Consider the following 22485-nt stretch of genomic DNA (forward strand, 5'->3'; position numbering starts at 1 on the left):
TCAGGGAATATCTTACTCCTAGAGGAGCCAGACAACAGTGACTTCCACAATAGCCTCATGTGGGAGTGAGAGTTAATAACTTGAAAGATGGCCGGGTACGGTGGCTCACACCTGTAATCCCAGCACTTTGGGAGGCTGAGGCGGGCAGATCACGAGGTCAAGACCATCCTGGCCCACATGGTGAAACCCTGTCTCTACTAAAAATACAAAAATTAGCTGGGCATGGTGGCGCGCATCTGTAGTCCCAGCTACTCGGGAGGCTGAGGCAAGGACAATTGCTTGAATCCGGAAGGCAGAGGTTGCAGTTAGCTGAGATCACACCACTGCACTCCAGCCTGGCGACAGAGCAAGATTCCATCTCAACAAAACAAAACAAAACAAAACAAAACAAAACAAAAACTTGAAAGACTGCCCAAGAAAGGTGAAGGTTAGATCTCAGGGGATGATCTTGAAGCAACTGAGACAGACCTAGAAACTTGCCTCATATGATACAAGAAGACCCAGCTTCTTTGTCTCTACCCTGTAGGCACTGGGTAGACAGGTAGGTGATATTTTACTTCACAAACAAGGGAACTAAAAGTATGAACATTTCTCTGTTCCTCATTATCTCTGCCCTAAAATATTTTGGCTATCTAGCCCCAGTTAGAGCGGACTGGCACTGTCTGGTACAGGAGGTATGCAGCAGATGTTCTGCATCTGAGCTCCATTATGACTGTCCCCCAACAAATCATCCCCCAGCCAGCCCAAGGGAACGTGGAATTCAGAGGGGAACTGTTCTAACCAGGAGCAGCCAATTAGATCCAGGCCAGAGAAACCCATATCCAGGCACTTTATCTTTGTCCTAAAATGAACCTAGCTAACCTCTTCAGGCTATCCAAAACCCTGACCACTCCACATAGAGAGACATTTGCTAGCCTTACATGTCACTTTCCACTGTACACATACCAATGACACCTGAACCAGATATAAAGACAGACCCACAAAGGTTCTGCTGAGCCTAAGGATCTGCTCACCTATTTCTGATCCCGAATGCCCCTGGGACATCTTCCAGAATGTGTGCCTCCAAATAAAGTCTAGAAAATTGGAGGAAAATTTAAATGCAGATGAATCGAGAAGGAATAAAAGCCATTAGAAATTCTGGGAAAACAAGAAATATAGAAGAAAGTCACGGGGCTGGGTGTGGTAGCTCACGCCTGTAATCCCAGCACTTTAGGAGGCCAAGTCGGGCGGATCACCTGAGGTCAGGAGTTCGAGGCCAGCCTGGCCAACATGGAGAAACCCTGCCTCTACTAAAAATACAAAGATTAGCCAGGCGTGGTGGCACATGCCTGTAATCCCAGCTACTCAGGAGGCTGAGCAGGAGAATCGCTTGAACTGGAGAGGTGGAGGTTGCGGTAAGCTGAGATCGCACCACTGCACTCCAGCATGGGTAACAAGAGCAAAACTCCATCTCAAAAAAAAACAAACAAAAAAAAACAAAAGTCACAACCCAAATATGAAGCAAACAAACTTTCAGATGATGATGGTACAGTGTGTTTATAACACTAACAACTCACTTTTCTCCCCACACATAGCAATCGTAAAAATAAAAACAGCCAGGCACAGTGGCTCATGCCTATAATCCCAGCGCTTTGGGACACAGAGTTGGGCAGATCACCTGATGTCAGGAAATCGAGGCCAGCCTGGCCAATATGGCAAAACCCCGTCTCTACTAAAAATACAAAAAAAAAAAAAAAAATAGCTAGGTGTGGCGGTGAGTGCCTGTAATCCCAAGTACCTGAGATGCTGAGGCAGGAGAGTTACTTGAACCCAGGAGGTGGAGGTTGCAGTGAGCTGAGATCGCAGCATTGCACTCCAGCCTGGGTGACAAGAGTGAAACTCCATCTCAAAAAAATAAATTAATAAAAAATAAAACAAAACAAAACAAAAACAAAGGCTTGGGCACAGTGGCTCATGCCCATAATCCTAGCATTTTGGGAGGCTGAGACAGGATTGCTTGAGTCCAGGAGTTCAAGACCAGCCTGGACAAAATAGCAAGACACTATCTGTACAAAAAATTAAACAATTAGCTGGGCATGGTGGCATGTGCCTGTAGTCTCAGCTACTTGGGAGGCTGAGGTGGAAGGATCACTTGAGCCCAGGAGATTGAGTCTGCAGTGGGCTATGATTATGCCACTACACTCCAGCCTGGGAGACAGAATAAGACTCTGTCAAAAAATAATAATAATAATAACAAAAAAGGAAAAGAAAAAGAAAACTAAAAGATATAGTCAGGCTCAAATACCAGATAAAGATATCCAAAATCCAGAGAGCAATAGAAACTGTGAACAGCGAAAAGGACTGAAACTGGGTAGCTGGTAGTTTGGCTTTTGTAGGGCAAAAGGGATTGAAAATGCTTCATAGGAGATGGGAGACTGGAGCCAGGCACAAGCTCAAAGACCTGAACAGTGGTGGGGCACCCTCAATGTTATGAAGAGAGAATGAAAATGAGCTGCTCCTAACTGCTGCTTGGGACCGTAGGTTCTAGTGAGCTGTAGGCCTAAGGTTTACAAGGCCATAGCCTTGCAACCAAGAGATAAGTCAAACACCCAATGTTTATGACTAGATCTGCCCTGCTCTTAATATCTTCTTTGATTCACTGCTAGTAGACTGTGTTCTGATTTAGAGACCCGGACTGTGGAATAGAAGCAATAAAAAAACTGATGGGCAAGGGAAGGTAAGGAGAGGGGTTGAGAAAGACAGAAAAAGAGGCTGGGCAGAGTAAGATTCTGTCAGGAAAGAAAGAAAGAGAGAGAGAGAGAAAGAAAGAAAGAAAGAAAGAGAAAGAAAGAAAAGAAAGAGAAAAAGAAAGAAAGAAAAGAAAGAAAGAAAGAAAGAAAGAAAGAAAGAAAGAAGGAAGGAAGGAAGGAAGGAGAGGGAGGGAGGGAGGGAAGGAAGGAAGGAAAGAAAGAAAGAAAACGGAAGAGAAGGGAAGGGAAAGTAGGGAGGGAGGGAGGAAAGGAAGGAAGGAAGCAAGGAAGGAAGGAGAAAGAAGAAAGAAAGAGAAAGAGAGAAAGAAAAAAAGAAAGAAGAAGGAAGAAAGGAGGGAGGGAAGGAAGGAAGGGAAGGAAAGAAAGAAAACAATATATTTTCACTAAAAAACCCATACACCAAAATCCCAAAACAAATATATTGCTAATAAAGATAGCCAATAAAATCAACAATTGGAATAGTAATCCAATCCAGCTGAATGCTTTACACAATGGTATGACAAAGCCTTAAACATAAGTATGCTGAGGATGTAAAAAAATATATAAATTAAGATATAACTTCCCTAAAACAAAATGGGGAAAAAAAGGAAACTCTTTTAGATGGGTATCTAAAAGAACCAATTCGAAATATGGAAATCAAAAATAACAATCATTTGAAAAAGGAATGAACCACTCATACATACAACATGGATGAACCTCAAAAACATTATACTAAATGAAAGTAACTAGATGCAAAAGACCGGCCGGGCGCAGGGGCTCACACCTGTAATCTCAATACTTCGGGAGGCGGAGGCGGGAAGATCACCTGAGGTCAGGAGTTTGAGACCAGCCTGGTCAACATGGTGAAACCCCATCTCTACTAAAAACACAAAAATTAGCTGGGCATGGTGGTGGGCGCCTCTAGTTCCAGCTACTTGAGAGGATGAGGCAGGAGAATCACTTGAACCCGGGAGGTGGAGGATGCAGTGAGCCGAGATTGTGCCACTGCACTCCAGCCTGGGCAACAGAGTGAGACTCCATCTCGAAAAAATAATAATCTTTTTGGGGTGATGGAAATGTTCTAAAACTGAATTGTGTTGAGGGAGCCACAACTCTATAAGTTTACTAAAAATATTCAAATTAAACACTTTAAATGGGTGAATTTTATGGCATATAAATTAAATCTTGGCCGGGCACGGTGGCTCATGCCTGTAATCCCAGCACTTTGGGAGGCCGAGGTGGGTGGATCACCTGAGATCGGGAGTTCGAGACCAGCCTGACCAACATGGAGAAACCCCGTCTCTACTAAAAATACAAAATTAGCTGGGCGTGGTGGCGCATACGCCTGTAATCCCAGCTACTTGGGAGGCTGAAACAGGAGAATCGCTTGAACCCGGGAGGCAGAGATTGTGGTGAGCCGAGATCACGCCATTGCCCTCCAGCTGGGGCAACAAGAGTGAAACTCTGTCTCAAAAAAAAAAAAAACAAAACATAAATTACATTTCAATGAAGTTATTAAAAATTATATTATCATTGGAATAAAAAAGTGTTATAGTTAAGGATACACTCTAAACTGGACATAGTTGAAAATTAGGAATTGAAGACAACACTGGGGAACTCTCAGTATGCCATGCAGAGAGATCATGAGATTAAACATGATAGAGCATTAAAAGACAGAGAATAGATTTTGAGGCTCCAACAATTATCTAATAAAAGTTCCAGAGAAAGAGAATGGAAGTTGTTTAGAGAAGCAACATTTGAAGTGGAGATTGCTAAGGATTTCTAAAAAACGGAAGAAACACTAATTTATTTATGAAATATTCATCAGGTGTCTGTTTTGTGCCAGGCACTGGGAACTGAACTTAGTGAACAAATTAGATGTGCATTTTCAGTGCCAAGCAGGATAAATAAAAATACCAAGCTACATAATAATAAAACTGCAAAGCTTTAAGGAGATTTTAAGATTCTGTCTTAAAGATTAAATCTTAAAGATTTAAGACATAATCTTAAAATCTCCCAGAGACAAATGAATGATTATCTGCAGAGTAATGACAGATCAACAGCAAATTGAATATCAGCAATAGTGGACGTCAGAAAACAGTAATGATAGTGATGAGAAATAACCACGTGCACAGAATTTTTTTTACCCGGACATACTATGATTCATTAATGGGGGTGGGGGGAAAATATGTCCAGATATGCAAAAAAACAAAAGAACTCACCATCCATAGAGCTTCATTAAGAGGCCAGGCATGGTGGCTCATGCCTGTAATCACAGCACTTTGGGAGGCTGAGGTGGGAGGACTGCTTGAGTCCAGGAGTTCAAGACCAGCTTGGGCAACATGGTAAAACCCCATCTCAACAAAAAATTAGAACATTAGCTGGGTGTGGTGGCATAGGCCTGTAGTCCCAGCTATTTGAGAGGCTGATGATTGCTTGTGCCTGGGAGGCAGAAGTTGCAATGAGCAGTGATTGTGCTCCTGCACTCTAACCTGGGTAACAAAGCAATACCCTGTCTCAAAAAAAAAAAAAAAATAAAATAAAATAAAAAAATAAAAAGAAGATCCATTAAAGATGTCCTTTAGCAAGAAAAAAAAAAGAACACAGAAAGAAGACATGGAATACAAGAAACAATAAATAAAATGTCAGTAAGTTTATTTCCTGTTTTAAAAATACTAATTTCTGTGTCTTTTCACATAGATCGAAGCCCAGTAATTTTAGGGGGAGAAAAGAAAGAAAAGAAAAAATAGAATTAAAGCTATACCTCTAAATTACAGTAAGAAGACAGAGCTAGTATTTAATGGGTTGTTAAGCATCCTAAGACCTGTGTTTCGGTTAAGAGCATAATACAAATACTGAATTATTATAAACTAATAAGAAATATGTATAACTCATGATGTATATACAAGTTTAATTTAAAAATAGAAATATCAGCCAGGCACAGTGGCTCACGCCTATAATCCCAGCACTTTGGGAGGCCAAGGCAGGCAGATCACAAGGTCGAGAGATCGAGACCATCCTGGCCAACATGGTAAAACCCCATCTCTACTAAAAACACAAAAAAATTAGCTGTGCGTAGTGGCACCCACCTGTAGTCCCAGCTACTTGGAAGGCTGAGGCAGGAAGATCACTTGAACCCAGGAGGCGGAGGTTGCAGTGAGCCGAGATGGTGCCACTGCACTCCAGCCTGGCAACAGAGGGAGACAACATCTCGGAAAAAAAAAAATAAAAAACTACAATAATTACTTAATTAAGGGAAAAAAAGAGAAATACCAGAAATTTTATCAAGTAGGAAAAAAAGAAGAAAAGAAAAATTATAGTAAACAGAAAACACAAATTAGGTGGTAGAATTAGGTTAAAATATATCAATCACAAAATATATAAACGAATTAAATTCCCCTATATAAAAACAAAATTACCAAATTGAGTTTGTAAAAATTCTAGCTCTGTATGTCTGGGATACACATCTAAAACAAAACTACCCAGGCCAGGTGTGGTGGTTCATGCCTGTAATCCCAGCACTTTTGGAGGCCGCGGTGGGCAGATCACCTGAGGTCAGGAGTTCAAGACCAGCCTGGTCGACATGGCGAAACCCTGTCTCTACTAAAAATACAAAAATTATCTGGGCATGGTGGCAGGCGCCTGTAATCCCAACTACTCGGGAGGCTGAGGCAGGAGAATTGCTTGAACCCGGGAGGCAGAGGTTGCAGTGAGCCGAGATCGTGCTACTGCACTGTAGCCTGGGCGACAGAGCAAAACTCTGTCTCAAAAAAACAACAAAAAACACCGAGAAAAGTTAGAAATAAAAGGATGAAAAGAGACAGGTACTTTAACTGTTACCCCTGCAAAAGCTGGGGTAGCAATATTAATATAAGACAAATATTATTTAAGGCAAACAAACTAAAATGTGGCATAATTTTAATTGGCTGATAGTGTAAGAAAATAGATGCCATCTGACCTTGATGTTAGGAACAATTTCTTTTATATAGTCTAGGCATAATGACATTGAAGAAGAAAATGTAGTCCTAATATGCTACCTGGCCCAGCATTGGACAATATTTACATGGTCATACTAATGGAAATGTTGTTTGGTTTGCAACTTTTAGAGTCATCTCAGGGAAAAACCAAGGATGTCTTGGCAGGCAGAATGAATATGTTATCAACTTGACAAAGTAAAAATAAAAGTATGTGGACATTAGAGATTAATGGCACATGGAAGGAGGAAGAAAGTACAAGAATTAATATAGTGTACAAGAGTTAATATTCTTATATAGAGTAGGAGTCAAGAGGCCCCGTCAAAAGTTGATGGAATGAGAAATTGGAAGTTTAAGCCCGAGCACTGTGGCTCATGCCTGTAATCCCAACACTTTGGGAGGCCGAGGCAGGAGGATTGCTTGACTTCAAGAGTTCAAGACCAGCCTGGGCAAAATGGCAAAACCCTGGCTCTACTAAAAATACAAAAAATTAGCCGGGCATGGCGTTGCATGCCTGTAGCTCCAGCTACTTGGAAGTCTGAGGTGAGAGGATGGTTTGAGCCCGGGAGGCAGAGGTTACAGTGAGCAAGATCTCACCACTGCACTCCAGCCTAGGTGACAGAGCCAGATCCTGTGTCAAAAGATTTATTTAAAAAGAAAAATCAAAAACAAAAACAAAAAAACCATGCAGCCTGAACAAATTACTGGGGATGTAAACCAGAGCCACTGAGTGTGTGTGTCTTGAGAGGAGCTGTATCTCCGTGGGGTTTCTGTGACTTTTCTTGGCATTAGCTTTGACACCGGAATTTTGGTTCTACCATTGTCGATTAACAACCATAAATTCTCACATCCACTAACACTGAGGTCATTGGTATTGTAGTCCTTCGTGCCTTGAATGGCATATCTGAATTTCTGCTTTCCTGCTGGGGGCAGCAATCAACAATTATTAGTATTTCTTCCTGAATATAAAGAAGCCTGGCCAGAAAAGGATGGGTAGCCTTGCAAAGATTTTGACTGAGGTTCTGATTATTCAGCTAGAACCCTTCTCTTCCTTTCAGATACAATTTTCCATAAGGAGTGAATACCTTTTGGAAGGAAGTTGGAAGTCTAGGTGACAGGGTAAAAGGAGGACTTACTTATCTCAGTACACACTTTGGTACCTTTCAAATTTGAGGCATGAATTTTATTTTTTTTATTCAAAAGGTCTATTAAAACATACCTACTTTAATCTTTAAATGCTGAATTGATATGTTATTAAGCTTTTAAGGCTCTCTCTGCAAGGATTTTTAAGAAGAGCCAGCCTTTTGGAGCCTAAGCCCAAAGATCCTGTTGACAATTTTACAGGGAAGAAACCCAACAAATTTTTAATGACGTTGGCGGTGTTATTGCAGATAATAATTATGAGAGTGCCAATGATAAACAGCAACCCATTGCATCACCCCACAACCCAAAGCACTGAAGCTTTGTGAAGAGTGAACACCCTGATTGCCCCAGAATGGCATGTCGGTAATGCCACTGCCAACTTCCCTGAAGGCTGGCCCTGTTCTTGACATGGCTCCACTTGCTCTCGAGAGTTTCTTCTCTCTACTCTCTCAGCAGATCATTCTGTCCTTCATCACCGGATTTGGTAACCCTGACTCTAGGAATTTTCTCCACTCATTGTCGGATGCTGTGGTTGAGAATAACACATGTATTTGGGAAGAACCTACCTTTCAGTGAATTATAAATGCTCACTAGTCAAGCATCATGCACGGAAAGCATATTATTAAATGATGTGTTCGTATCTCTCAGGTGCCAAGCACGTCCACTAAAGCATTGTCTGACAATTGCAGACCTGCAGACAGGGATTGTGGGGAGAGACATATGAAAATCATTGCTACATAGACATACCACTTAGCCCAATTAATCACACATCAGCTGTCTGAATGCTGCCTGGCCCAAGGCAGACGCTGAAGTTCCATATACCTCATCGCATAGACTTGATCTTTGTCACAGAGGATTCACCATCCCTGCTGCTCCCTCCCTCCTTCCCTCCCTCCCTGTCTTCCTCCCTTCTTCTCCTTATCTTCCCTTCACTCACCAGACATCCTTTGAGCTATGTGTGCCAGACGCTCTTCCAATAAGAAGGTGTCAAGAATCCTATGCCAACTTTAAATTTAGGAAAGTCTGAAAGATGCTAACATCAGGAGATGAGGTGGGGTTTTTTCAGACTCTATCCTAGAAACAAGTGGAACAAACTCCATTTGAAACTGAGCAATTCGGCTAAGCGCGATGGCTCACGCCTGCAATCCCAGCACTTTGGGAGGCCGAGGTGGGCAGATCACTTGAGGCCAGGAGTTCAAGACCAGCCTGGCCAACATGGTGAAACTCCACCTCTACTAAAAATACAAAAAATTAGCTGGGCATGGTGGCACATGCCTGTAATCCCAGCTGCTTGGGAGGCTGAAGCAGGAGAATCTCTTGAACACAAGAGGTGGAGGTTGCAGTAAACCGAGATCGCACCACTGCACTCTAGCCTGGGCGACAGAGTGCGACTCTGTTTCAAAAAAAAAAACAAAAAACTGAGCAATTCTCATAAGAGTTGCATCTGCTTGAGTAACTCCCTCTCCTGTAGCCATACCTGATTTGGTTGGTGGGATTCTGTGGGCAATCATAAGTGTGACAGATGGAAAGATTCCACTGCTTCCTCTGAGTTCTTGGAAGGAGGAATAGAAAGGGTTGATGCCTCGTGTGGTTGTGCAAGTTCGGCCATGCAAAGAGATGCCTGGAGAAGGTAAGTCAGGGCAGAAACCTAGCACCTGCTCTGCTCGCTGAGCTATGAGGCTAAGGACCCAGAGCACAGGGCACCTTTTTCTTATTTCCACAGAGGTACTGTTTGTTCTAGGAAGCAGACCTGTGTTCTCTGATTGTAATTCTCTGATGGGAAGGTCAGGAAGTTTACAAATCAGAGTGGAAACCCACTGCAGAGAGACCCAAGTTTTACAGGGCAAGGTACAGAGTGGACATCACCATCCACATCAGGTTCCCTACTTTGAAACACCCTGGGGCCAGGATTTTTCTGGATATGCATTTGAAAGTCCTGACACATTTCTAACTTGTGATCCAGACTTCACGATGGTTCTTCTGTTTTCTACCCAATCACTCTTTACATTAGTCTTATTGATTTTTTTTTTTATTTTTGAGACAGAGTTTCACTTTTGTTGCCCAGGCTGGAGTGCAGTGGTGCGACCTTTGGTCACTGCAACCTCCACCTCCTGGGTTCAAGCGATTCTCCTGCCTCAGCCTCCCAAGTAGCTGGGATTACAGGCACGCGCCAACACGCTGGCTAATTTTTTGTATTTTTAGTAGAGACAGAGTTTCACCATGTTGGTCAGGCTAGTCTCAAACTCCTGACCTCAGGTGATCCGCCCACCTCAGCCTCCCAAAGTGCTGGGATTACAGGCATGAGCCACCACACCAGGCCAGTCGTATTGATTTTTATTTCCCAAATAAACATATCTCCTAAATGTCAATGTGTGTGCTTCATCCTAACATTTTCATATGGGAAGCTTCTAGAGCATTCCCCGGAAAGAGCCAACTAGACTTCAACTCTAGGAATTTAGGAGATGAGGCATAGAAATGCTGATTTCCCAAGACCAGCCTCATTGTCTCCTAAAAAACCTGCCTGGAAAAAAGAGCCAGGTCCCACTTGTGGTTGTGATCCTAACTCTGTACCTGCTCTTGAATAAGTCTGTAGATCTCTCTGGGCTCCACTGTCTTGATCGGTAAGCTAAGAGGATTGGGACTTTCTTGTTCTGGGAAGTCATGGTTATATCTTTTGGCTGCCAGAGGCTGGAAGCGCAAAATCAAGTTGGCAGCAAGCCCTGCTTGTAGCCCCCTGGACCCTGCATCTAGGATAAGAAGGAAAGTGTGGTTGGGAGAGCTCATGGCTGAGCTACCAAGGCACAAGAGCCCTGTTCCTCTTTCCCTATGCAGTTCATGCCAAGAGGATCGAGGATATAATTAGCCTTGGCATACTAAATATGACTGTTCTTACTTCACCTGGAGCTTCTCCTTTTGTTCCTTAAGCCCATGTGGAAGTTGCCATGCCTCCCACCTTTACGTGGGTATGCAGGATGCTACGGTAAAACATGAGGTGTTTTGAAGTCCCGGTTCCACCCTTTATTAGTTAGGTGACTGATTCCCAGTTTCCTAATCTGTAGAGATAATAATGCTTATGTCATGGAGTTGCTGTGAGGAGGAAATTAGATTCTATATAAAATCCACACCAAACAGGACCTGGCTGATCCACGTTAACTTCCTTTCCCCCACTCCACTCCCCACCTCTGTTGTTCCCTCATCCAGTGTACACCCACCCATGTCAGTAGAAACTATTATAAGTTTGCACCCTAGAGGAGTGGATTGACTGGCTAATGACACAAGCTCAGGCATGAAATAGATATGCACTTGGCTGTTTGTGGCTTGAAAAATCTCACCCCTGACATTTTTTCATTGTGAGTTTCATTTGAAGGGAGGTCTTACTAGAATGACAAAAATATGTTTTTCCCTTTGAAGTGCTGGGTGCCTCCAGTTACATTATATATAATTGTCCTATGTGTGTGCTTGGAAGAGCTTAGCATCCAATGGGTCTGCTCAAATGGCATTGAGAAGTTCCCTGAAGTTTCAACCTGAGGCTCTCTGATAAATTGATTTTTCTCCCACCATTCATTTGTGATTTGAAGCCCAACTATGCTGTCCCATCTGTCTCTTTTAGTGAAATGTACAAGCTGCAACAACCATATACTGTCTCTATCTGTATAAAACAGGAGAGTGGGTATAATATATATTGGTTAAGTCCATATTTAGAGTGGCTCAGCTGTTTACTAGCTTTGTGACCTTGAGTAAACTAGTTAACTCCAGTTTCCTCATCTAAAAAAAATGAGGTCAACCTGATAAATCTGTTGTGAAGATTAAAAGACTCAATATATATAAAGTGTCTGGTACGTAATAAGTTCTCATAAATAATAATTATTAATAATGTTGATGATCTCTTCTCCACATGATAAGTACTCATATCTTAGAACAAAGCCAAGAATGGTGCAGTTAATTACAATAGAATAGGGTCGGTAGAGAGGAGCCAGTACCTAGAACTTGAATGAGCAATTTCAGAAATATACCCAGCTACTGGTCCTGGAAACCTTATTGTGAGTCACATCATTGTAACTGGAAGGAGACCCAGTGGCCTCCTTGATGGAAGCAGATGAAAGATATGACTATTCAATATGAAGGGTGGCATTCTGCCTATTAATCTCATTTATTTATTTATGTTTCTTATTTTTTGAGGCAGAGTCTTGCTCTGTCACCCAGGCTGGAGTGCAGTGGCGCAATCTCAGCTCACTGCAGCCTCCGCCTCTCTGGTTTAAGTGATTCTCATGCCTCAGCCTCCCCAAGTAGCTGGGACCACAGGCATGTGCCACCACTCCTGGCTAATTTCTGTATTTTTAGTAGAGACAGGGTTTCACCATGTTGGCCAGGATGGTCTTGAACTCCTGAACTCAAGTGATCCACCAACCTCAGCCTTCCAAAATGCTGGGATTATAGGCATGAGCCACCGTGCCCGGCCTATTTTTCTTTTTCCTTTTTTTTTTTTTTAATTTTCAAAGTAGAGTCTCACTCACTCTGTCTCCCAGGCTGAAGTGCCGTGGCACAGTCTCAGTTCACTGTAACCTATACCTCCCGTGTTCAAGTGATTCTCCTGCCTCAGCCTCCTGAGTAGCTGGGATTACAGGCATGTGCCACCATGCCTAGCTAATTTTTGGTGTTTTTAGTAGAGACAGTGTTTCACCATGTTGACCAGGCTGGTCTCGAACTCCTGATCTCAAGTGATCCACCCTGCCTTGACCTCTCAAAGTGCTGGGATTACAGCTGTGAGCCACCACACCCGTCCTATTTATTTATTTTTCTTTAAAAATGTGTTAAAACTAATAGAGATAAAGTCTTACTCTGTTGCCCAGGCTGGTCTTGAACCTCTGAGCTCATGTGATCCTCCCGCCTCAGCCTCCCAAAATGCTAGGATTACAGGTGTGAGCCACTGTGCCCGGCCTATTCTGTTGCTTCATGATGTAAGGGAGCCCACGTCTCTCTTCCTGCCAGGTGGGCCACCTGAGCACAGTAAGGTCAGAATGGGTGGAATGATGGAATTCCTGACCATCTTTGCATCATTGTCTTGATGATCATGACCCAGCCATCCCCTGGAACTTCTGCATCACAGCCTTTAGCTCAGTCTGCTGCTGTGAGCAGTATATGAAACTTGTATCCGTGATAACTTGGCTCTGCCAGGACTTGGGGTACCTGATGGAGAGGATTTCTTGGAGGAAAAGGCCAAAGGGCTGCCCCAACTTTGGCCTCATATCTAAATCCTAAGAGTATACTTGCTTCTGGTTGCCAAAGGCCTGAATGCTCAGAAAGAGTACAGCACAGAACCTGTTGATAAGGATTCCTCTGGCTTTGCTTTACTCTGCCATGCCAAAAAAACAAAAAAAAAAAAAAAAAAAAGCAAGAATCAGGTTGTGTTAGGACTAGAAAGCCTTCTTAGCAGTCAGAGCATGCAATTACTGCCCATTCCTGATTAGCTTCAACTTGCTGGACCAGCTGAGGAAATCTAGGGTATTCACAAGGTCTGAAGTCAGGGAGTTTCATAACCTCATCAGAATCTAGGATGCGTGGACGACTGCATTCTACAATGACTCAGGCAAACTGAATACTGAGGGATGCCCTTTGGCTTCTGCATTTAAAGACATTAATTTTTACCAGTGTAGAGGATAAGCGATAGATAAAGACGGGATTGGTTGGGAAAAGTTCCCTAGAGGAAGTGGTCCACATATTCTCTGTCCACTTCTAAGAGCAGAGTCCCATTTTTTTTTTTTTTTTTTTTTTGAGTGAGTCTCTCACTCTGTTGCCGAGGCTGTAGTTCAGTGGCGTGACCTCGGCTCACTGCAGCCTCCACCTCCTGGGTTCCAGCGATTCTCCTGCCTCAGCCTCCTGGGTAGCTGGGATTACAGGCACACACCCCCATGCCCAGCTAATTTTTGTATTTTTAGTAGAGATGAGGTTTTGTCATATTGGCCAGGCAGGTCTCGAACTCCTGACCTCAGGTGATCTGCCAGCCTCAGCCTCCCAAAGTGCTGGGATTACAGGTGTGACCCACCACACCTGGCTAGCTTCCCACTTTTGAACCATTCATTCTGTGACACCTGAAGTCCTCTGTATCTTCAGCCTCTTTTTCCTGACATAATTGATGCAGGTTCTCCCCTGTAGACATTTCCCCCACAGTCCTTTCCATACTCCATCTACCACAGGACCAGAAATAAGATGAGCATTCATCTTACATCCCAATGCCTTCTACAGACCCTTGCTTCTATGCCCTCAAGTAAAAACTTTTCTTCTGTTGAATTTCAGGCTGCCACATTAAACCACAGCCCTCTTCCTTGACCTACTACCATCGTACTGGCCCCGATCCACCTCGGGTCCCACAATCACCATGAGTGACCACAGTGTCCATGTACATAACCCATCCAACAGCTCCTTGACCTTGTCAACCCTATGACCTCCATGTAACTTTAGTCACCCCCATTCTTGGATGAATCTTGGATCTCATTGATTGCCTCAAATTACTCCACCTCCAGAAACTTAAATTCTAGTATCCTATCCTCTTCAACTTTCCATTTCTCTCACTCATTTCTGCTTCTAGACTTACTCTTTGATCTTAACAAGACCTTCCTTTGATTTTTCCATTTTCTTCCAGCCTATGTGTCTCTCCCCTATCCAACCTAAATTCTTGGCTCTTCAACTCAATTACTGTGTTGACAAAACTGTCTATTTTTTTGTCCCCTCAACCTTCATCTAACCCAACTGGAAAAACAGCTAGACCTTCCATGAAGCAGATCCCTGGTCATTTCTCTCTCCTATTCCCCCATAGCAATGAACTCCTTCATTCTCTTTCAACTCCCTAGTTCCTCTGTATCCCATTCTACCTCCTCTTATAAGATGATCTCATTTAATACCTTACAAAGGAAATAGAAAGTATTGAAGAGTAATTACCTTAAGTCTCTGTTCCTCAACTCCAGTATGCAAAATTACCTTCATCTGTCCATATCTTTTTCTCTTTCCTCTCATCTAAAGCTAATCCTCTTACCTAAAGCTAATCTAAAACTAGAGCCACCTGTACTCTGAATTTTACCCTGTCTACCTCATCATGGGCCTGATTCCATCAGTTAACTCTCTGGTATCATTAGTGTCTCTGTCTCTACTTGCATCTCAGAAACTTCTGCCCCAAGTAAGCCCCTGCCCACTGGGCCTTCCCCAGGCCTGGGAAATACCCTCTTTGACCATATCTTCAGGAGCACCATTGACAGAAGGAAGAAAGCCAGAAAAGGTGAATGATTTTTAGGAATGGGAATTTGGAATTGGGACTTTACTTTTTTTTTGAGACAGGGTCTTACTTTCTCATTCAGGCTGGAGTGTGGTGGCACAATCACAGCTCACTGCAGCCTCGATCTCCTGGGTTCAGGAGATCTTCCCACCTCAGCCTCCCGAATACCTGGGACTGCAGGTGTGAGACAACACACCAGGCTTGTGTGTGTGTGTGTGTGTGTGTGTGTGTGTGTGTAGACGGGGTTTTGTCATGCTGCCCAAGCTGGTCTCGAACTCCTGGGCTCAAGTAATCCTCCTGCCTTGGCCTCCCGAAGTGCTGGGATTACAGGTGTGAGCCACTGTGCCTGGTCTTGGGACTTTACTTTTTCTAAGTACAGGGTTTGATGGGCCATTCCAGCAGAAATGTCAGGTGGGAAGTTTATAAATGCATATGTTATCTTTAGGAGAGAGATTAATCCCGGACATACACTGTCTTCCTTACTCTGAGACATCAAAGGCATGTACTTAGGTATTAACTGGAATGGGGAAGTGTCCCTGGCTGTTTCTTTTCCTGGAGTTTTTCCCAAAGGGCCTTTAAGTTTTCAGCATATAAACACATTTATTTTAAAGGCATTTCCATGACGTTGAAGGCACAGATGTTACAACTGAATTTTATCCCAACCTCCACATGTGGAATCCAGAAAAAAATTCTCTGGTCTTATGATTGAACAGGAAATGAAAGACAGTGTCACTCTAGGTCCTCATTAGGAATTCCTATATTTTTACACCATTGGAGAAACATTTAGGGAAAATGTGCAGCCATGTTTTTAAAAAGATTCCCAAAACTCTTGTTAGAGAATAACTTTGCTCTTTCTCTGGGAGTCACAGCAAACTATTCTAAAGATGCTTCCGCCTCCCGTTTTGAGCACCACCTTCTAACATAGTGCACGCTACAATGAGAGTAGGGAGCAGGAGAGGCTAAGAAATGCTGATTTCTTGGCTAGCATGCCTTTGGCCTTTGGTTGAAACTACTCCTTGGAAGGTTATTATATTCCAAATTCCCTCTGATGGATAATTGATTTGTCAATCTCAATTTTTTCATCGTATATTTTAAAAATTATCTTATGTTGTTTTGAACTACCAAGATCAGCACACTCTTTTTCATGATAACACACTTTGGTTATAAATATCATTGCAAAGCGCACTTGAACATTCATCAGAAACTTGAAGATTTTGTTAAACTATGAGGATGGCATTCATCAGGATGGCATTCATCAGATTTCATTAAACTATCAGGATGGTATTCACTGAATAACTGCAATGCAGCTCTGCCAAATGGTCATCTGTCTTCTCTTTGAATCATGGGTCATTATACAGGTAGATGAAAACCTGCAAATAAAAAGATAGACGAGAATTATAAGACTAGAAAAGTCTTTTAAAGATTGCCTACTCTTTTTCAGACGCTAAACTATAAAAGCCATTTCAAAGGATAATATTTTATAATCTATTCCTGTCTCTTTCCCTTTCTTCTTTCCTCTCTTCTTCCTTTTCCTTCTCTTTACACAAAACATTTCCTGAGCACTCATAACATGCCAGGTGCTATGTTAAGTATGAATGATATAGTAATGAACTATAATCAGTTTCTGCCTTTATTTATTTATTTTTGTTTTGGTTTGGTTTGGTTTTGAGACAGAGCCTCAGTCTGTCGCCCAGGCTGGAATGCAGTGGCGTGATCTCAGCTCACTGCAACCTCCACCTCCCGGGTTCAAGCAATTCTCCTGCCTCAGCCTCCTGAGTAGCTGGAACTACAGGCACCCGCCACCACGCCCGGCTAATTTCTTTATTTTTATTTTTAGTAGAGATGGGGTTTCACCATCTCTTGATGGTGAAAAGAGATCACAAGTTGGCCAGGCTGGTCTTGAACTCCTGACCTCAGGTGATCCGCCCGCCTCGGCCTCCCAAAGTGCTGGGATTACAGTAGTGAGCCATCGTGCCCAGCTGAGTTTCTGCCTTTAATATTCTGTTTAGAGGAAAGAGAGAACGTTACTACATCCAGAAACCCAGGTGGGATATCTATGTTTCTTAACTCCACTGGATGATCAGGCAATATGTTTATGGAGGTGAGGCTTGAACTCATTCTTTAAAGGACAAGTAGAATTAGGGGAAGCAGGCAAGGGGAAAAGGACATTCCAAGCAGAAGAGATATTATAAGTAACATCATGGAAAACTGAGAGCACATGGTGAAATTGTATAGGTGGCATGACTTGAGCAAATTGTGTGAATGCAGATACAGGAGAGTCCTCATCCGCCCTACTAATGATGACATTTACGTACAATAAAATTAGCTCTTATTTTTAACGCTCTTCTCTGGTAGAATTCTTAAAAAGCTGAGAAGAATAAAATCTTATTCTATGTCATTTAATCAGAACCAAATACGAGAAGAGGAAACTCAAAGGAAAATTTTCATCCATTCAATTCTTTCTTAGTAGTTATTATTCGCTAAGGGCAATGGTTGTTAATAGGAATAGTCAAGGAATAATTTCTCGATTATTCTCAGCTGATTTTCCTGGCAGTATTTCATTCAAATCAGAAGAGTGTTAATTCCATTTTTCATAAGATCGGGGAGCATGACCATCTGTGTCAAGAAGAAACGAAACCTCAAAGAGTTCCAAGTCAGTTTGGATCAGTCTCAGGAAATCCTGACTTTTATTTGATGTGGCCCATAAGTCCAATTATTGTACTCACAAAAAAGGCTCTTCAAAGACTGGCTATTAGCCTCATTTTACATTCAGGGACAGGAAATGATAAATCTTAAAACAAGGACACAGGACTTTTAGAACTGATGTCAATGAGAGTCTCTCTCTTATCTTTCTATCCTTCTTTTTGATCTGCTTCCTTCCTCTTTGCCTATTTTTTTTTTTTTTGGCTCCCTGTTTTCTTCCTTAATTTATATCTTATGCCTACCAGTGTTTCCCTAGGTAGTTTAATATTTCTAATGGTGATACTTGTATTTATAACATTTTCCCTAAAAAATATTTCAAATAACTCTTCAGATCATTCACGTCCCAAGGATTGTCAGATAGGTTCCTTTTATGACTTCTTACACACTCCTATGTTTGACAGAGCCACACCTGAAATGGTAGGATTATTGTCTTTGCGTCACTCAGATGCAAGTCTTGTGGAGGATTCAGTCTCTCCCTAGCCCTGCCCTGTGAGATAGTTTTAACAGAAATGTGTATGAAGACATGCATGGCAGAATTACCAGATCAGCTGGTGACTCAAAGCTAAGATCATAAATTACAGACTCTATATCCAAAATGATCTCAATTGGCTGGAATGCTGGTATGAAATCAATAAGACAAAATTTAAATCAGATGTAAAGCCCAGGTGTGGTGGCTCACGCCTGTAATCCCAGCACTTTGGGAGGCCAAGGCTGTCGAATCATTTGAGGTCAGGAGTTCAAGACCAGGCTGGCCAACATGGCGAAACCCCGTCTCTACTAAAAATACAAAAATTAGCTGGGTGTCGTGGCACATGCCTGTAATCCCAGCTACTCAGCAGGCTGAGGGAGGAGAATTGCTTGAACCCACGGTGCTGAAGTTACAGTGAGCCGAGATTGCGTCACTGCACTCCTGCTTGGACGACACAGCGAGACTCTCTCTCAAAAAAAAGGAAACCTGCTAGATCTCAGAATTATAGCAATAGTTTCAGTTGACCTCATCTCCTTCCTACATGTGTTCCCCTCTCTGCCCATGTCCTTCTGACCTTGTGAGTTCTGAAATGAGTCCAAACTTCTCCCATCACAGTCCCTCTCTCTAAGTATACAGATTTATCTTTCTATCATGACTGAGGTATGCACAGAGTTGACTTTATGAGTGTACGATCTGTGTTGCTGCACAGAGTCCTGCACTTAAAAGCACCCCATACTCAGTTTAATGTCTCCTTCTGGAAATTCTTCTTTTCTTTTCTTTGTGCTCACTTTGGCAGCATATACACTAAAATTGGAACAATACAGAGAAGATTAGCATTGTCCCTGAGCAAGCATGACACACAAATTCATGAAGCATTTCATATTTTTATTTATAAAAAATAAAATTTTTTAAAAAGTTAAAAGTAATTTTAATTGGCAAATAAAAATTATATATATTTATCATGTACAAAATGATGCTTTCATATATGTATACATTATGGAATGGTTAAATCAAGCTAATTAACATATTCATTACTTCACATGCTAATAATTTTTTTGTGGTGAGGACACTACAAATCTACTCTCTTGGCCATTTTTCAAGTATGCAATACACTATTGTTTACGATAGTCATCATGTTGTGCAATAGATCTCTTGAAACTTCTTGAAATTCTTAACAATTTAAAAATTTTTTTTAGAGACAAAGGATCTTACTGTGTTGCCCAGGCTGGTCTTGAATTCCTGGACTCAAGCGATCCTCCTGCCTCAGCCTCTTGTGTAGCTGGGATTACAGATGCAAGCCCCCATGCCTGGCTGTAACAACTCTTGAATAAAGAGTCTGGCATTTTCATTTTGCACTGAGCCCCACAAATTATATAGCCAGTCCTCGGTATAGGAAACATCCTTTTCTTCTCTGAGCAGTTGAAGTTTTCCAAAAGGAAGTTTTTCTATGAAAATGAGGTAGCAAACAAACAAGATGGCTACACCAAAAGTTAGCAAAAATAAAATTTCAGATTACAGGTGAATCCCAAAGTGAACTAGCACCAAGCCAAAAATGCAATTAGTCAGCACAGTAGAGACAGTCCATAGCGTTTGGCTCCTTTCCACTTCATTTGTAGCTGCCTAAAATGTTAAATTAAGATATGCACATGATCTGAGATGGATTTTGTTTGGCAGCAAAACCAAACTGTAGTATCTGTAGGATTCTGGCTATGCTAGGAATAGACCCTAGGTCACTGGCCCTAGCTCCATCATCACTTGCTAGTCCCATTTCTGACCCACTCCTTCTGTTCTTTCTACCCATTTCAGATCTCCAGGTCTCTGGCTTCTTCACTTTGGCTCCATTTACTTCATATCTGTTTTCTAGCCAATTGAAAAGGTCAGTTTGTTATGCAAACTGGAGAACCCTGGCTTCCTTACTTATTATTAGCAAAATGTAAGCTTGCCAGATTTAACTAATTAAAATGTAAGATCCACAATTACTTTTGAATTTTAGACAAACAATGGATGCATTTTTAGTATATGTTCCATATATTGCATGGCATGTACTTATAGTAAAAAATTATTTATCTAGCTTAAATTCAAATTTAATTGAATGTTCGGTGGGGTGCAATGGCTCACGCCTGTAATCCCAGAACTTTGGGGGGCTGAGGCAGGAGGATCACCTGAGGTCAGGAGTTTGAGGCCAGCCTGGCTAACATGGTGAAACCCCATATCTACTAAAAATACAAAAAATTAGCCAGGTGTGGTGGAAGGCACCTGTAATCCCAGCTACATGGGAGGCTGAGTCAGGAGAAATGTTTGAACCTGGGAGGCGGAGGTTGCAGTGAGCTGAGATCATGCCATTGCACTCCAGCTTGGGCAACAAGAGCAAAATTCCATCTCAAAAAAAAAAAATTTAATTGAATGTTCTGCATTTTACCTTGGGACCCTGTCATCATGGGCACCCATGGATCATGGGCTGCCCTGAACATACAGGAGATGCCTACTATCTAACCTCCTTGGAGGCCATTGGCATGTCTTCAGTTTTCTTGGGACCAAAACTCTCTCGGTCTCATCTGATGTCAAATTCTCTGCTCCTGCAGCTTCTGCCCCCTCTCAAGTTCCCACTTCAATAAAAGAGCAGAAATTACTAATGAATCCTGGGTTTATTGAGCAATCATACCTCTTTCTCAATTTACCTGAACAATTCTTCCCATTTACTCAAGTTCTCTTTCATAATTCTATTCCCAAGTACCCCCAGAAAAGTAACTGTTACCAGATTTTGCAATACAGATGTTGACCGGTTTTCTCATCCGTATATCTACGGTAGCCACTGTATTGCATGGTATACAGTGGAATTCAATAAATGTCTGTTGGGTGATTGAATTAGTTAATTAAAGCGTATATTCCCTATAGGTTTTTTTGTTGGAACAGATAGAACAGAGTGTTCTATTTTATTCCAGAGGGAAGGACCAGGGCCAATAGCGTGAACACTTAGGGAAATCATTTTGACTTCAACATCTGGAAACTTTTCTTAGCTCCAGAGGTCAAAGTGGTGGTGTTGAGAAGTCAAGATCTTCCTACCCTGGCAATGTTCAGAAGGAGGTCTAATTTCCACCACTATGGCATTGCTGTCACAAACAGAATTTCTGGACTAGGGGCAGTGAGAAGTAATTGTTAAACTACTTCCGAACCTAAGAATCAAGAACGTTAATGCACCCTCTCCACAAACACACTTTTATTTTTTCAACTTAAAAGTTGCACTTGATACTGAATTCTGCTCTTCTGAGAACAAGGACATATAACAGATGCACGCACACATTAATGATGTGCCAACTCCCTTTTGTTTCAAGTCTTATAGAGCATAAAGACAAAGAGGTCATTTCTAGTAATGGAGAGTAAAAAGCCCTTAATTTTTCAGTTTATCTTTGATTTATGTTTCTGTGTTTGTGTGTGGCCAGGCTCTCCTTGGCCTTTTCAAAAGGAACTGGCATAACCACTGAAAATGTGTGGTAACTGACTACATGTCCCTGGGGAGAAATCTTATGTTACTCAAAACACAGTTGCTAATGAACAGCCTGTGTTAGTCCCTCAACATAAGAGAAAAAAAGCTATTTGTAGGTATGAAGGTAAGCACAACCATTCCCCCAATAACCCTGGAATTCTTATATATCTCACCATTCTTTTTTTTTTTTTTTTTTTTTTTTTTTGAGGCAGAGTCTCACTCTGTCACCCAGGCTGGAGTACAGTGGCACAGTCTCAGCTCACTGCAACCTCCGCCTCCCAGGTTCAAGCGATTCTCCTGCCTCAGCCTCCACAGTAGCTGGGATTACAGGGACCTGTCACCATGCCCAGCTAATTTTTGTATTTTTAGTAAAGACGGGGTTTCACCATGTTGGCCAGGCTGGTCTGGAACTCCTGACCTCAAGAGATCCGCCCACCTTGGCCTCCCAAAGTGCTGGGATTACAAGCGTGAGCCACCACCCCCAGCCTCACCATTCTTTTAATGTTGTAATATGTGAGAGAAAGGGAGAGATATTCGAGGTGAAGTAATTGTGCATATTTGAGAAGCATATGCTGTGTATGAGGTGGGGGTAGGGAGATAGAAAGGTATCGTGGGGAGGGGACAAGATGTGTGATGTCCACAGGACTATGGTGGGGAGTTTATGATAGCTCAGCATGTTGCGTGCCTGTGAAGACTGAGTAGAGGCAGCTGTCACA

At 42.2% G+C, this 22485-nt stretch overlaps 1 pseudogene, besides 1 other annotated feature; it reads left to right on the plus strand.

The window, feature by feature from the left end:
* Positions 19066 to 19172, plus strand: RNU6-1013P (RNA, U6 small nuclear 1013, pseudogene; annotated as a pseudogene).
* Positions 20235 to 20404: an enhancer, noted in NCBI's record as "experimental_106030 CRE fragment used in MPRA reporter constructs". NCBI's record gives its function as "activates a minimal promoter by MPRAs in K562 erythroleukemia cells, with activity observed for both the introgressed and non-introgressed 9:114603362 variant alleles {active_cell/tissue: K562}" and the evidence as "EXISTENCE:reporter gene assay evidence [ECO:0000049][PMID:34662402]".

Source organism: Homo sapiens, chromosome 9, assembly GCF_000001405.40.
Source record: "Homo sapiens chromosome 9, GRCh38.p14 Primary Assembly".
NCBI classification, from domain to species: domain Eukaryota; kingdom Metazoa; phylum Chordata; class Mammalia; order Primates; family Hominidae; genus Homo; species Homo sapiens.